Source organism: Homo sapiens, chromosome 12 (genome assembly GCF_000001405.40).
Source record: "Homo sapiens chromosome 12, GRCh38.p14 Primary Assembly".
Lineage (NCBI taxonomy): Eukaryota > Metazoa > Chordata > Mammalia > Primates > Hominidae > Homo > Homo sapiens.
Window position 1 is genome coordinate 33581155 of NC_000012.12, and position 15175 is coordinate 33596329.

General features: G+C 37.0%; 3 annotated features.

Annotated features, from left to right (window-relative positions):
- Nucleotides 6454-7374: an enhancer, noted in NCBI's record as "OCT4-NANOG-H3K27ac hESC enhancer chr12:33740543-33741463 (GRCh37/hg19 assembly coordinates)". NCBI's record gives its function as "activates a minimal SCP1, AML or CMV promoter by ChIP-STARR-seq in primed H9 embryonic stem cells {active_cell/tissue: H9 hESC(primed)}" and the evidence as "EXISTENCE:reporter gene assay evidence [ECO:0000049][PMID:30033119]".
- Nucleotides 6454-7588: a biological region, named in NCBI's record as "CRISPRi-validated cis-regulatory element chr12.1007". NCBI's record gives its function as "regulatory_interactions: SYT10".
- Nucleotides 6720-7588: a transcriptional cis regulatory region, noted in NCBI's record as "candidate enhancer chr12.1007 targeted for multiplex CRISPR interference". NCBI's record gives its function as "positively regulates SYT10 gene expression with high confidence in K562 cells {active_cell/tissue: K562}" and the evidence as "EXISTENCE:mutant phenotype evidence [ECO:0000015][PMID:30612741]".

Consider the following 15175-nt stretch of genomic DNA (forward strand, 5'->3'; position numbering starts at 1 on the left):
GTAGAGAAATGTAAGAATAGTGTTCAGGTCAAATAATTTGCAACGATGTTTGAAGTTCACAAATACTAATAGTTCCTTTTTTAAAAAAACAAAAGTATTACATTTTAATATAATTAAATACATATATTTGCATTTTTATACTTTAAATACTTCTGAAAATAATGAAAATAAATTTGACTCACGAAGCCAGTATAGAAAATTTAAATGATTCAAATTAATTAATTATTCCATGAGAAAACAAATAAAATTTTATATAAAATGAAATGCCATGTTGGTAATGTTCTATACTTTGATAAAATCAGAAGGAAGACATTTAATTGTGTTTTTAAACCAAAATAATCAAACCCGTCTGATTTATTCAATGATTCACTTTGATTAGAAACATTACATAAACCTGGATCCAGATATAATCCTGCATTTATTTACCAAATATTTTAATGTGCTCCACAGTTATTTTATTCTATATTTTTGTTTATTAATTGTTAGCTTAATGTTCCTTTGCATTACTCTTCTTTCCTTTTGGTGATAGAGTTATTTGAATCAGATGTTTCTACAGTCCTAACAAAAGAGAGTTCTGTGGTCAATTAATCTCTCATAATGCACCTAAAACGCAGTCCACAGACGCTAAAGGCCACAATTACAAACAGGCCTTTGTAAATGACTTATTACTTTCCCCATATGAGGAGAAGGAAAAGTTTTTCTCACTTACAAAGGCACAGAGAATTGGCAGCATCAATGTGACAACTTCAGTCATGGGTCGAAAGCAAATACAAAAGAACACTGAACTGAAAACAGGAATGCAGAAACGTGAGGTAAGATTTGCTGCCCAGAATGTCAGCCAAAAGGAGAAATTGTAGTTATTTAGACCTGAACTTTTAAATTATACTCATTTTTACTTTTATTGGATGTGAGTGATGCAAACTATTCCATCGTGAATAATATAGTAATTAAAATCTGAAGGCACAGTTCAAGTGAAAATGTTTTATAACATTGATATCAGTTCTAGTTTTGAATATTAAGAAGCACAAACTTTTTATTAATAGAAACTTATTTTCTCCCCACCTAGCTAAAAAACGTTGGAAAAAAATCTTGTATATGTAAGTAGTGTTGGTTTAAAGGAGGACCAAATGCTTAGACACGCAGGGCAATTACTTGTCTCTGTCTAGCTAAGAAAACATTCTACAACTTTCTGAAAACTTGATTAGCTACTTTAGTTATTATTTCCAGAATGACTGTGCTTGAGTCTTTCATTCAGTCTGAGCATTCTGGATGCTATGTTGGTGTGTTGATTTCTGTGCCTGTGTGGTGACAGATGTGTTTTTTGCTACTTTCTTAAGCATGAAGTTTCTTTTCTGACTGAGCAGAAATATGGACACCAAAATATTTTCTATGTCACGTTGTTAAAAAACCTTCCTCTAGCTCCAAAGCATTCAAATGCTTTATGGCACATGCCACTGAAAGTTTCCACACATTGCAAAGTGAGGGTAGCTTTTATATTATTAAACTAAACTTACCAATATGGAAAATAAAACAGACAGTGGTGACCTATTGCATCCTAAGGAACTGGAGTTCAAAGTTAACAAAATTTATAGATTCCCTATGTAATCAATTATATTGCACAGCTTTTTAAGCAGTGCTAATTTCTACATTACAGCATTAAAGAAACAACTTTAAACATAATATGTTCACTGATACACTTGTTACTATGTTTGAAAGTATATAAGAACTATGGATCATGGGCTACATACCTTCTTTCTCAGCAATATAAACTTGGTTTACATACTGTCATAGTTCAGTTGCTGAAAGCCACTTAAAATGTAGGCATAGTGGCTTTAAGGATTACACAAACTTTTCAGTGTATTTCATATCATCTTGAACTAATTTAGTGAAATCTAATATTTAATGAGGAATCGTATATATTACCAAATTTGAGAACTACTATGTGGCCCAGCGAAATAAAAGCAAGCTCTTTACTGAAGTCACAGATACCTACTTCTACACCATGTGCTGTGTAACATAGAATTCTATTCATTGTGTTTTCCCTTTTATCATTTTCTCTTTCATCTCTCAAACTTAGATTTCCTTCTTTGCTATTAAATTTATTAAAATTACCTTTCACAATTTAAAATGTGCATTGTATACACAAACCTGAAGAATGGCAGTGACATATTTTACTTTGTTTATGATGCATTCTCAACAAGAACATTTCTCTTTAAGAAGCTGTACTTAAAATAGTATCAAAACATAAACTTTGATATAATAATAAAATTGGTCAAAGTGCATACTCCCAAGGATAAGAGTGTAATTAAAATTGCTTCTCTAGGCAGCTACTTAATAGTCCAATCTCCTTTGTGGTTCCGTATATAACAGATGCACAAATACATATTCAAAGACTGAGAATAAGATTTTGGTTAGAAAAGTATGATGTCTCAGAAATAGCTATATTGGGGGCAAAAATGGTCTGGGAAATTTAGATGATGGTAAGACTCATTCAATACAAGAGGAAAAGTCTATGTTAGATCAGATCAGATATTTCCTCTGCCAAAGTTCTGGATTTAGGTGAATTATATACTGTCTCTCATTGAATCCATACTTCAGTCCTGCATAGTGGTAGTATAGATCTATTTTATGAAAAATAAAACTGAGGCTCAGTGAGATGACATGACTTTTCTAAGATTATATTGCCAGTAAGTAGCAGAACTTGTATTCAAATCTTGGTCTTTGTCTTCAAGGACTGTGCTCTTGGTTACTATGCTATCTTATTTTTTGTTGGGTTCCAGGAAATCCCATTAACTGTAGCTCTGTGACTACAAAATCTGATTTTGGGATTTTCAGTAAAATTAGTTTGGCTACATTACTTGCTAGTTAGGTCAGAAATTGACCACCAACATGATCCATGGAAACCACTGGTGACCTGCATGCATAAGGAAGGCCTCTTGTAATCTCCCCGTTGGGAGATTTTTGGATATTTCATTTGTTTCAAAATGGGTTAGAGGTGAATTAAAAGCACCATAAATCTGGGAGCCATATTTGGAGAAGGCCTGGGTTTGACCTCGATGACTCCTACTTTCCATCTCCTGGACATCCTAACCCCCATTATGTCACAGGGCCTATGCACATGCTTTTCCAGCTTCCTTTAACAACCTCCTCCCATAGTTGGAGTGGCAAATGTTTTGTCATCCTTCAGGTCTCAGTCATATGTCATCTGTTTAAAGAAGTTTTTCCTCATAATCATATCCAAAGTTACTTGCTATCATATATTGTTTTGCAATTATCATATATTTTTAAACACATTGCAGTTGAGAATAATTGTTTTGAAGTATCTACTTATTAAATGAAACTTCCATGAGAATGTTATTTACATGGGAGAAAGAATTGCATATCTATATTTTTCAGTACTTTATGCTCATAGCTGTGACAGTACCATGTGCTCAAAAAGGATATTTTAATAAACAAATAAGTTATAGACAGGAAAAATGCTTTGAATTTCAATTTCTTCATTAATAATTTGGGATAATGGCCTCTCCTGTTTGGGGTGATGATTTGCCTCCATTTCCTACAAGGTGACTATGAATGTAATAAAGTACATCGTATGTAAGAGCACATTGTAAACTTTAGAATATTACTCAAATGTTGAATAAAGCTAAGTGAAGTTTATCCTACATATGGTTCCATCACCTGTTTGGGACTATTCTTGTTTTCTTGGTGTCTTCTCCTTCCAGCATGATATATCCCACTGCCTTCATGTGATTCCTGATTGAGCAAGGCCCCTCTGTAGTGCTGCCCTTGTCTTCTCAGATTGTGTACTAACCAGTGGGCACATTTTGAGTCGACTCTCTCATGAAAAACTCACTCGTCAGTTCATTTTCCCATTTCCACAAGGTATTGTAAAGTGACTGGTTAGTTGATTTAATATATCTTATGAAAATATATTGATAATAGTTTCATGGTTTACCTTTTTCTAGAATTACATTAATTTTAATATGGGTCTTCAGTAAGTGACTTTTGCGGACATTGCAGCTCCATTGACTTAAGCTAGTAACGTAATTTTGGGTAAGGCTGACACAGGATGATTCTCTTGAAAATGACTGAACCTGTGACTGTGTAAATTGTCATTTATTTTACCTACCTTTTCAAAATGAAAAAAAAAATGTGAACTTAGTTTTAGAAAGATACGAATAATTCTTTTTTTTTTTGAGACGGAGTCTCCCTCTGTGCCCCAGGCTGGAGTGCAGTGGCGCGATATCCGCTCACTGCAAACTCCGCCTCCCGGGTTCACACCATTCTCCTGCCTCAGACTCCCGAGTAGCTGAGGCCCCCGCCACCACGCCCGGCTAATTTTTTGTATTTTTAGTGGAGACGGGGTTTCACCGTGTTAGCCAGGATGGTCTCGATCTCCTGATCTCGTGATCCGCCCGCCTCGGCCTCCCAAAGTGCTGGGATTACAGGCGTGAGCCACCGCGCCCGGCTGAAGAATTCCTTCTTATCACAACAGATGCCTTTATGATTTAATCAATCAACCCATGGTTTGTGGTTTTCGTATGTTATGAATAAAACTGTCATAATATTTAAAAGGCTATATGTGACAAAGACTCATGTCTGTAGAAGGTAAGAGGCTTCCTGTAGTACAAATACAACTGCCTAGACCTCTGTGGAAAACCTTTTGCTCCTCTGGAATAAAACATTTTCTGAAATAACAATGCGATTTCCCTCCATGACAAATAGAAATGATATCTTTCTAGCTAAATAGTCTCTTTAATGTATAGCTGTTTGATCTTATATTACATTAAGCCCTAGATAATGACCTAGGAGAGGTGAGGGACAGGAGTTGCCATCTTAAGTGTTATGGAATATTTTTGAAACATACAGCAGGCTTACCCTGAAGTTTTTTCTCTCTAGGCTCTGGAAGAGCTGTTCTATGCTAGAACAGCAGAAAAATTCGACGCAAACTGAGCAGGAGCACAGAAGTAGAAAGCTCTTTGTTTGAAAGATGATATTAATGGTTCATTAATACCACTTCAGTGTTGGAAGAAGAGAACATTCTATTATCATTTCTATCATGCAGGTTCAATAATTGAAGATGAACAAAATCCAATAAAATTTTACTCTGAAATACCACTCTTTTCTTTGTGGTACTTAAACATTAATTTACAAAGTACATAATGGAAAATAATTGTAGCACCCTCAAGAATAATTTGATGAAAAGTTGCAGATAATGAGATAGATAGCTTTTCTCTCTTAAATTATTACTTCAAATTAGATCAGCAGTAACCTGCAGGCAATTCGGATCTTTGTGAAATGAGTCTTCCATCTAATATCCCTTCAGGGCTTTGGTTTTCTAGCAAAGTTAATGTTTCTTTTTATTTCCTTCAGAAAGAAAAAATGAGAATGAATAATGCTATTGGTTGAATTTTATGAATATCTTTATATTACTTTTTTAAAGTATTTGAGCCTTATTGTCAAGTATTCTTGGAGATTTGAATTTAAAGCAGACTATTTTAGGAGTACATCCTTAGAATTTCACCATTTCAAGCTCAGTTTTTTCAAGGGATTTGCTAGGCTGGCGTAGCTAAGGCCTGTTATGACCCCTTGTTCTTGTCTAATTGCTGTATATTTTATGTTTTCCTAAAACCACAGGGGTTTTGTCAGACTTTTGTTTGCTTTGGCTTATATATATGTAGCCTTGTCTCCTTCTATGCTTACCCAATGCTAGGACCCTATACGTAAATCCTTTTCCTACTTTTGGGATGTTTCATAATTCTGGTAATATTGACATAGATCAATTTTGTTGACCTTTTTTCTAGGTCCCTTCTGGGTAATCGGAATGTTTGGAAAATATTTATTAACATTACTGGCGACATCTGTATTTTTAACGTTAGCTTGATTTAGGAATTATAGACATTCAAGTTACGGCTGAACCTATGACCATGCAATCCAAACCCAAGAAACAAAAAATTATGTAATTAAGATTCAAAGAAATATGATGTAGTTCCTGATCTCAAGCAGTTTGTGAACTACTCAGAGGAAATGCAACAAATGCATGTGCACATACATAAGAAAAGAAAACATGAGTTGAATAACAACACAAAATTAAAAGATTATTAGAATTAATACAATATTGTTCCAGGTTAATTGCCAAATGAGGAATATAGGTATTAGACCCATAGATCAGGCATCTGACTATTTCTATGAATCAAGGCCAGGGTCTCTGAAAGTTAACAAGGTCTGCCCAAGTTCTCAGTAAGATTTACTAATGGATTGACTGAGATTGACTAATGTGTGAACTATGGGAAAGGCATACAACTTGGCCACTTTTATGCTCCTTTGTGGAGTAACATGATCTGCCCTAGGAAAAGGAGTGCTTTGGTGAGAGGATTCAAAATCCAGAATTAGTCATGATTAAATCACATTGTCGATTTTTTTTCTATATATGGTTTTTGAGTAATTTTAAAAGATCTGTCATTGTTGTCCTTGGTGATTACACATTCAGCAAATATTCTTTGAGTACCTATTATATATTGGTCAGCATGCCTAGTTTACAGGTATAATAGTGAACAAGATGGACATAATACTTGCTTTTATTAAGTATAAAGCCTGGGAAAAATTAGACATTAAGTGGTAACACTGAATCTAAATAATTTTTATAAATATGTAAAATTCCAATTCAGTAATTCAGCAAATATTTACTAAGCACCTGCTCTGAGTCTGTGGTTATGTTACCGGCTGCAGGGCCTATGTGACTTAGCTGGACCCCTACCCCGCTTTTGTTGCCCAAGGCAATGTCTACATGACATAGCTGAATTCCTATTACCGGCTGCAGGGCCTATGTGACTTAGCTGGACCCCTACCCCGCTTTTGTTGCCCAAGGCAATGTCTACATGACATAGCTGAATTCCTATTACCGGCTGCAGGGCCTATGTGACTTAGCTGGACCCCTACCCTGCTTTTGTTGCCCAAGGCAATGTCTACATGACACAGCTGAATTCCTACTCAGCCTTAACTTTGTTAGGAAACAGCATGTCTGTGATCAAAAGTTTATTCTTAGAACTAAACCAGTTGAAACTTGCGAAATCCATGTTGGCAGTTTGCTTGACCTCTGATGAATCTCTAGCTTCATTGTAATCCAATTTTCATGACAAATGACTCACCCCTGGATGCCTTGACAGTTGATAATCACCATGACAATGACCAGAAGAAATGAAAAAATGACAGAAAAGAGGCGACTCCTAGGAAATCTCCATTCCTTACCAAGAAAAGCATAAATATTCCCCTGCTTGCTTTTAATGCCCAGCCCCTTCACTGAAGATACCCTATATCTGTAACTCCCTGGTTCTCTCTCAGGAGGTGATAAGTTGATTTGAGAGCCACACTCCCACTTCTGCATTTTATGGCCATCAGATAAAGCCTGTACTGTCTAATGCTCACTTTCAGTTTCGTATACTTGCTTGTGACACTGAACAGGAAAAGGCCCATTTTGGGGGGTAACTGGGACCCCCTGGTAACAGTTAGAGTACATCAGAAATTTACCAAAAAAAAAAAAAAGACAAAGATCATTCTCTTCATGAAGCTTATATTTCTATTATGGGAAGGAAGTTAGAAAATTAAAAAAAGAAGTACTATCTGCTGGAAGCTGGGAATGCTATAGTGCAGCAGGTGTGTGTGTGTGGCACTAAAGTAGGGTGAAAGGAATGGACAATGAGCAGGAGTGGTGGACTGGTGGGGGTGGACCACTCTCTTAAATAGGGGCATGGTACAGCTTATTGAGAAAGTGACATTTGAGAAACAGGTGAGGAGTTAGCTATGTGGATATATAGCGGAAGAATAATCAAGCAGAGCGAACAAACGGTGCAGAAGCCATATGGTGGAAATTTGCTTAAGTATTTGAGAACAGCATTGTGGCTGGAGTAGAATAAACGAGGGGAAATTGGTTAGAGATAATGTCAAGAGAGGAGTAGTTCAGGCAGATGATGTAGATCCTAGTAGGCCATTGTGTGAAGAGGCATTGGAGAGTTTTGAGTAAAACAGAGACAAGATTTGAGTGTTGTAATCTGACATACATGGTGAAAGGACCAATCTGTCTGCTAAGCTCTGGCTTCACTTAGTGGGGTTGGGCTTATAAAAACAAGTTCTATTAGGAAACTATTGAAATCATTCATATAAGAAATGACAGTGGGTTGGAGCAGAGCAGTAATAGTGGAAACAATGGAAAACAATTAGACTCTGAATATATTTTAAATAGAAAACAAACAGGATTTTCTAACAGATTGGATATAGAGCATAAGAAAAAGAAGACTCAATTTTGTTTTGTCCTGAATAAATGGAAAGATGAAGTGACCATCAATAGTGATGGAAAAGGCTGTATGAGACACCTCAGGGGACAGAGGCATGGGCATCAGAGGCTCAGTTTGGATTTTTCTGAGTTTGAGATGTATTTAGACACCCAAGTAGAGATTCCAGTAGGCAGTTAAATAAAAAAATCTCTATTGTTGGGGAGCATTTTCGACTGGAGATTCACAATAGATGGCACTTAAACCCATGAGCCTGAAGGAGGCCACACAGAGAGTGAGCATAAAGAAGAGAAGAAAAGCAAAGACAGAGCTCTGGCCTACTCCAACCTCATAAAGTCAGGGAGAGGAGGATGAAACACCAAAGGAAATGGGTAAGGAACAATGTGTGAAGCAGCAGGAGAGCCAAGTGAGTGATAACTAATGACACCGTACTATAAAATGAACCTGCAGATAAGGTAGCCCTTTACATGGAACACATTTGGAAGTGTGAAAATTTCTGTAGTTCCTCTTTTTCATATGCCACCTCACGCCAGCCATGTTCATTTTTGCCTTCATTAATGGGTCCTCCTTGCAAAGGATCCACACAGAGAACCCCTGCTTCCTCTCCACCACAGAATAATGGCAGGAAGCAGACCTAGCTACATGGGGCTTCATTCTTTTCCATCAGCTTCCTAGAAGCCTGTGGATTAATGTTAGAATCTGCTACTCCTTCGACCATAGAGCACTAAACTTTGCAAAGGCTTTGATTAATTTGAATTTGATGGCCTTAGGGTGCTTTTATATTAAAGCTCTGAAAATGTTCAGAAATTTTGAAACAACCATGATCACATTTACAATTTATTTTTGACACTTTTAAGGTTTTTCAATTTGATTTTTTTTCCTCAGAAGACAGGGCAAACTTTGTAATGATGATTAACAAGAACTCTGTGACACTTACATGGACCTGGAAAAGGGCAGAACACGCCCCTTTCCCCAAAGCACAGAAACAATCAGAACAGGTGAAAGCTGAAGAGTTCATGGGTTTGTAACCAAGTGGACCTATTCTTCTTCATTTATTGAAAAGGGCAGGACAAACACATAGGCATGTGCATTGGAGTAAAGAATGAAGTGGAGTGTGGCCAAGATAGCCAGGTGTTTCTGCCCTGCAATGTTTTCCTGCTTTTCATTTTCCTTGCTCTCTTTGAAAGATCTTATTAAATACAATGATCTCATTCTTTCAAAGGGAGTGGGGCCTTTCCCATCCACTTTTTTCTAAGAGGAACCTGAGTTGTAAATGAAATAAAATCATGTGATCTTGCTGTCATAAATATTCATCTTGGGTAAGTGACTATTTTTAATAATCAAATTCTTTGTTATCCAGAGAAGTTGAGGGTGACTGTACTTTTCCTAACCCACCTGTAAAACTACCTAAGGAATATATATAAATATCTGTATATATCTCTCTCTATATATACTTACTCCTGACTGTAATCATTCTTATTTATTACTATTTAATTTATATGGAACTCTCATAAGCTATCTCATAAACTCACAAATCATCATTCAATAAATCTGACAAATATCAAGTCATGTACTACACACAACTGACAAATGATTAGTATCAAAATATATTTTTTAAATGTGCAGATCTATAAGGACTACAAAGGAAGCATAAGTATTTACTACCTTGCTTTTCTAGCTAAGTCAGGGATAATAGCTAGCTAGTGCTTTCCACACTCAGAAGCAATTGTGTCAATAATAATTTTCATCCCATTCTCTGGCCTCTGTTGTCAATTATAATTTAAATCAAGGCAGAACTAAAGATATTTGCAGTTATTTCCATAAGCATATCTTACATGCTTTTGGCTAGTACAGTTAGGTGGATTTCTGGAGAAATACTAGGTTTATAGCCGAAAAACCATGAGGCAAATCTTAGACATGTTACGTTTGATTTATTGTTGTAATATTCAGTTAGGAAGGTGAAGTCAGTAGTTAAGTAAATTGATCTGGAGCTTATAGAAGAAGCTTGGCTAGGTGAGAAAGATATATTTGAGGGTGATCTTTCTAAGGGTGGGAACTGAATCCATTAAATTAAATTAAATCATCTTAGAAAGAGTAATGAATGAGAAAAGAAAAGGACTAAGGACCTAATCATGAGAAGCTAAAACATTTAAAGATCAGGGAAAAAGAAAATGAACATGCTAGAGACTCAGAATAAGAGGTCAGGGTGCTGGGGGAAGAACTGGGTGTTTTATGTTTTTGAAGCCGAAAGGTATGCTTCTTAAAAATCCAGTAAGATTAAGACTACAGGCACTGAATCAATTCAACTTTTTATTGAGCACCTACTATGTGTCAATCACTTATCTAGGTGATAAGATAAAATGATGATCCCAAACTGACACTGTTTCTCTCAAGAAGCTTTTAACATAGTGGGGCAGTCAGCCCTATAAGCAAATTGTCATGCTAATAAATATGCCGTTATAAACTGAGGGACATGCTCTGAAATATATAAACATATAACACAAGAAGCTGCTTTAGACTGTAGGGACAGAGAAGAATTCCCTGCTGAATCAATTTTTGAGCTGAGGTTTAAGAATAAATAGAGGGCAAATAGGTGAAGGTGAAGGGTAAAGGAAGGAGCATTCCAGGTAGAAGAAACTGTACAGGTAAAGACCATTGTGCCAAGAAGCAATGTGAAGATATTTAAAGGGTTTAAAAGGCCAGAATGGCAGAAGGATAGAGAGCAAGGTGGAAAGTCAAGGACGGTTGGCCTTCAGAGATAGTTATGGGCCAGATGTGAGGGCTTCCTTGGCCATGTTAGAGGTTCTGGCCTTTATTTAAAGAGTAATGTGAGACCGTGTATGCTCTCTAAACCAGCAGCTGTCAGCAAAAGAACCTGAAAAATAGAGGCTAGTATTATAGGAGAGAAAACATACACACACACACACACACACACACAAACACACACACACACGAGTATGGTGAATAAAAATCAAAAGGAGGGAGTGTAGGAATGAAGACAGCAATCAACAATATCAAATGGAAATGCCCTGGAAGTCATCTGTGGATTTGGAGACATGAGATTATTGCCCTTCTTCACAGAGCCACATCAGTGGTGTCATCCAGGAGAACAGAGAAGGAAATGGGAGGGTGGGGGAAGTGTTACCAGTTATTGTCTAGGTTTTGAGTAAAGAAAACTGTTTCTAGTTACTGAATCTATATAGAGTAATAAAACCTATATATATATTAATATTACCCTCCCCCAAGTAATCTACTATCTGAAAAGCATTAGTGAGCAAATTGAAGTGTAAGAAAAATTCTACATGGATTGCTGAAATGCAAGATTTTCATCTCATATTGTATGGAAAACAACTTAGAAAATCCTCCTTGAACCTTTCACCTGTCCCTCTTCAGTCTGCTTCCTTCCAAGATCTTTCTTTTCTTTTCTTTTTTCCCTACACAAAACACTAAACCTGGCTACCTCTTGTACCCTTCAAATCAGCCCCAGCCTCCAGCCCCATAGCAATACTCTGCAAATGAGAAAGTTTTCCTGTCGATCCAGCCACCTTAGATGACATTTTTATGATCATCTTCTATTGCTGATTATGATTTTAGGCTTCTAATTTCAGAAAAAAGCAGAATAACCTCTAAATAAGGATTACATAAATTTAATTTTCCATTTCACTTCTAATAAACATACATTCAGTTTGTGTAATGTAGCTCTTTGTTAACAGCCAGAATCATTCCTCTTCTGTCTATTTGATTTGATACATTGCTCTGCTTCTCAGTTATAGAATCATTTCCAAAATAAGACAAAGTGCTCTATAAATCTGGGTTCCAATAAATTCCACAAACAACCCTAATCATCAAACAAAATTTATTTCCACAAACATTTATGGAACACTACTATGTGGAGGGATTGAGTCAGGAATGGGAATACAAAATGATTAAAAGCATGAACCCTGCCCTGGGGGAAGTTGTACATAATACAACAAGAGATAAATTATAGTTCAGAGTGGTAAATGCCACATTCATGTTTCAAAGCTTCTATGAGCCTTTTATCCTATGTTGGATTTGTGGAGGGGCTTAGTATGGCAAGGCTCTGATTTTGTAGAACTTGGTATTTTACTAAAAGATTACTACTATTCAATGAGTTTTTATGCTTGTGGAGGAAAAACATGGTTAATTACTCAGGATGCCTTGATTTTCCTAAATTAAGTTTGATGGGATTATAAACACACATACAGTGAATCCAAAACAACAATTTTTGATCAATAATGGGATCCTGGGTAAAAATAGAAGATTTTTACAGTGTTCAAGGTTATGTTTAACTGTCAATCATTTGTTAGGTATGAGGAAAGGGCAGTGAGGAAAACAGCTACCTACTCTTATAAAACATAGTCTAATGAGAGAGACAAATAGCAAAAAAAATCAAGTTTGAATAGTGATAAGGGTTATGAGGAACTAATAGAAAGATGTGATAAGGCATGCTGTAGATGAAGGCGGATGAGACAGTTCAGAGAGTCCTGGATGAATAAGTGACATGTTAACAGATGTGAGTGACAAGAAGGAACAAGCCACATGAAGATATAAGTGAAGCCCATTCCAAGAAGGGAGAACAGCAAATGTAAAGACTCCAAATCAGAAATAGTTTGATGCTCTGGAGAAACAAAGTGAAGGCCAGCCTATCCAAAGTGTAGGAAGTGAGGCAGGGAGTGGTATGAGTTGGGGATCAGAGAGGTAGGGAGAAAATAAGTCATACAGAGTTTCTTGGGCCTTGGTAAGAATTTGGGTTATGTGTAGGCCCAGTGGGAAACCATTAGAGGATTTTAAACAGGGCTGAGACAAGAAAGGTTTCATTTGTTATAAATGATTACACAGGCTGTTGTGAGGTAAATGGACTGTAGTGGTGCAAATGTAGAAACAGGAGCAGTGATAATGCTGGTGATGTTTTAAAACACTCTTTCTGGAGGGGAGAAAGATCACTGGTTTGATTACAGATTTCCGTGGTGTTAATATGTCAAATCATGGCCAATTTCAAACTACCAATGTGACATATATTGGCTTGGCAAACTCTTGAAAATTTAATAATTTGTTTTCATGAGTTGATATGGGCTGCTTACAGCACTCTACTGATAAGGGAGCTAGTGCAGTAGTCCAATGAGGAGGTTTATGGAGGGTGGTCATACTAAAAAATAGAGGGATGTGGACAGATACTAGATACATTTTGGAGGTAAAACCCACAGGAATCATTATTGGACTGAATTGGTGGGGGTTGATTGGAAGAAAAAGAAAACAATAAATTTGACCTGAGCAACTATGTATGAATGTTTTGAAGTAGGAGGTGGACTCGACTCCAGAAGTGGGGCTCAGACATGGGACCAAATTGAGGACTAGCTAAAACAGGGATGGAGCGGAAGCAGCTTTCCATAAGGCATGACCACCAGTGGGACATGTTAGCTTACCATCGCGTGGCAATACTTGGGAGGTACTGCCCCTTTCCATTGCAATGACGTGATGACCCCAAAGTTATTACCCTTTCCCTAGAAATTCCTGCATAAACCATCCCTTAATCTGTAGGCAATTAGAAGTAGGTATAGATATGACTGCAGAACTGCCCTGAGCTGCTACTCTCAGCACACTGCCTAGGTAACCCTGCTCTGCAGGAGCAGTCGCAAAGCTGTAACACTGCAGCTTCAATACAGCTGTTTTCTTCTACACTGCTATGGGCTAACCCTTGAATTCTTTCGTGAATGATGCCATGAACCCTTGAGGGCTAAGTGCCAGTTTGGGGCTCACATGTCCTGCATCAGTTCTATTCCTGAAATCCATCAGTTCTATTCCTACTGAGAGAGGGAGTAGGTTTTGGGAGAAGTTACTTCCAGGATGAAGTTTGACTTCAGTCACATAAGGACTGACGTATGAGACAAAATCAAGATGTCAAATAAGGTAATTAGAGCTAAGAATCTAGAGCCCACAGGAGAGGTCAGGGATAGAGATATAAATTTGAAAGTAAACAGCAGAAAATCTTTTAAAAATGAATCTTCACTCTTTTCAGAACAAATAAGGAAGCCAAGTTTTTACCTCCAATCAGTTTGTCACAGATGCAAATCTCAAAATGCAAACTTAGGTATGCAATATCATAACTCTCTTTATTTTCCTAATGCCATTGCATTTTTAACAATTAGCTGCCTTCCTGCAAGGTGGCAGAAGTGTAATCTCATTTAATTCAGAGACCCTGTTTTGCATGGAGTTGCAGCTCATTTTCTAGGGTCTTATATAACCAAGCTGTCATGGGTGAGAAGCATTCAGATTTTGGTGTTGTAATCCATGGTGGCATCCAATAATATTTCTTAATTTCTGTGCTTTTTAAAATTTTTTTGTCCACTTAGTTTATTGTTGCATTGTTCATCATTTTTGCTATTACAGTCTGTTAAATTTTCTGAGTTTCCCTCAGATTCTTAACTTGTGTACAGATGACTCTGCTGGTTCCTGCCACGCTTTGACCCAAAAATCTGTGGAACTGTCTCAAGTCCTTCGTCATTTGAGTGACATTCCAGGGGCACACGAGTCACTGTACTTTCCTGTAGGAACCTCTCGGACCCTTCCTAAATGTATTTTACCTAAACACACTATCCAGACATTTTTACTCTGGAGTGTTGAAGCCTCCCTTAAATCTACTCAGGAAGTGAGGGATAAGACTCTATTCTCCAAGTCCACAAACTTCCCAAGAATTTCTGTTGCTATCCACTCCTAGGGCTTGATGAGATCTCAGTTTCCAGGGATTTACACAATTTCTTCCCCATTAGTTGCAAGTTGGTACCTATGAGTCAGATCAGGCCTAAAGCCATGTTTTATCTGGCCCTCACAGTGCTGTTTCAAAAGTTGAATGAGTGACATTTACAAAC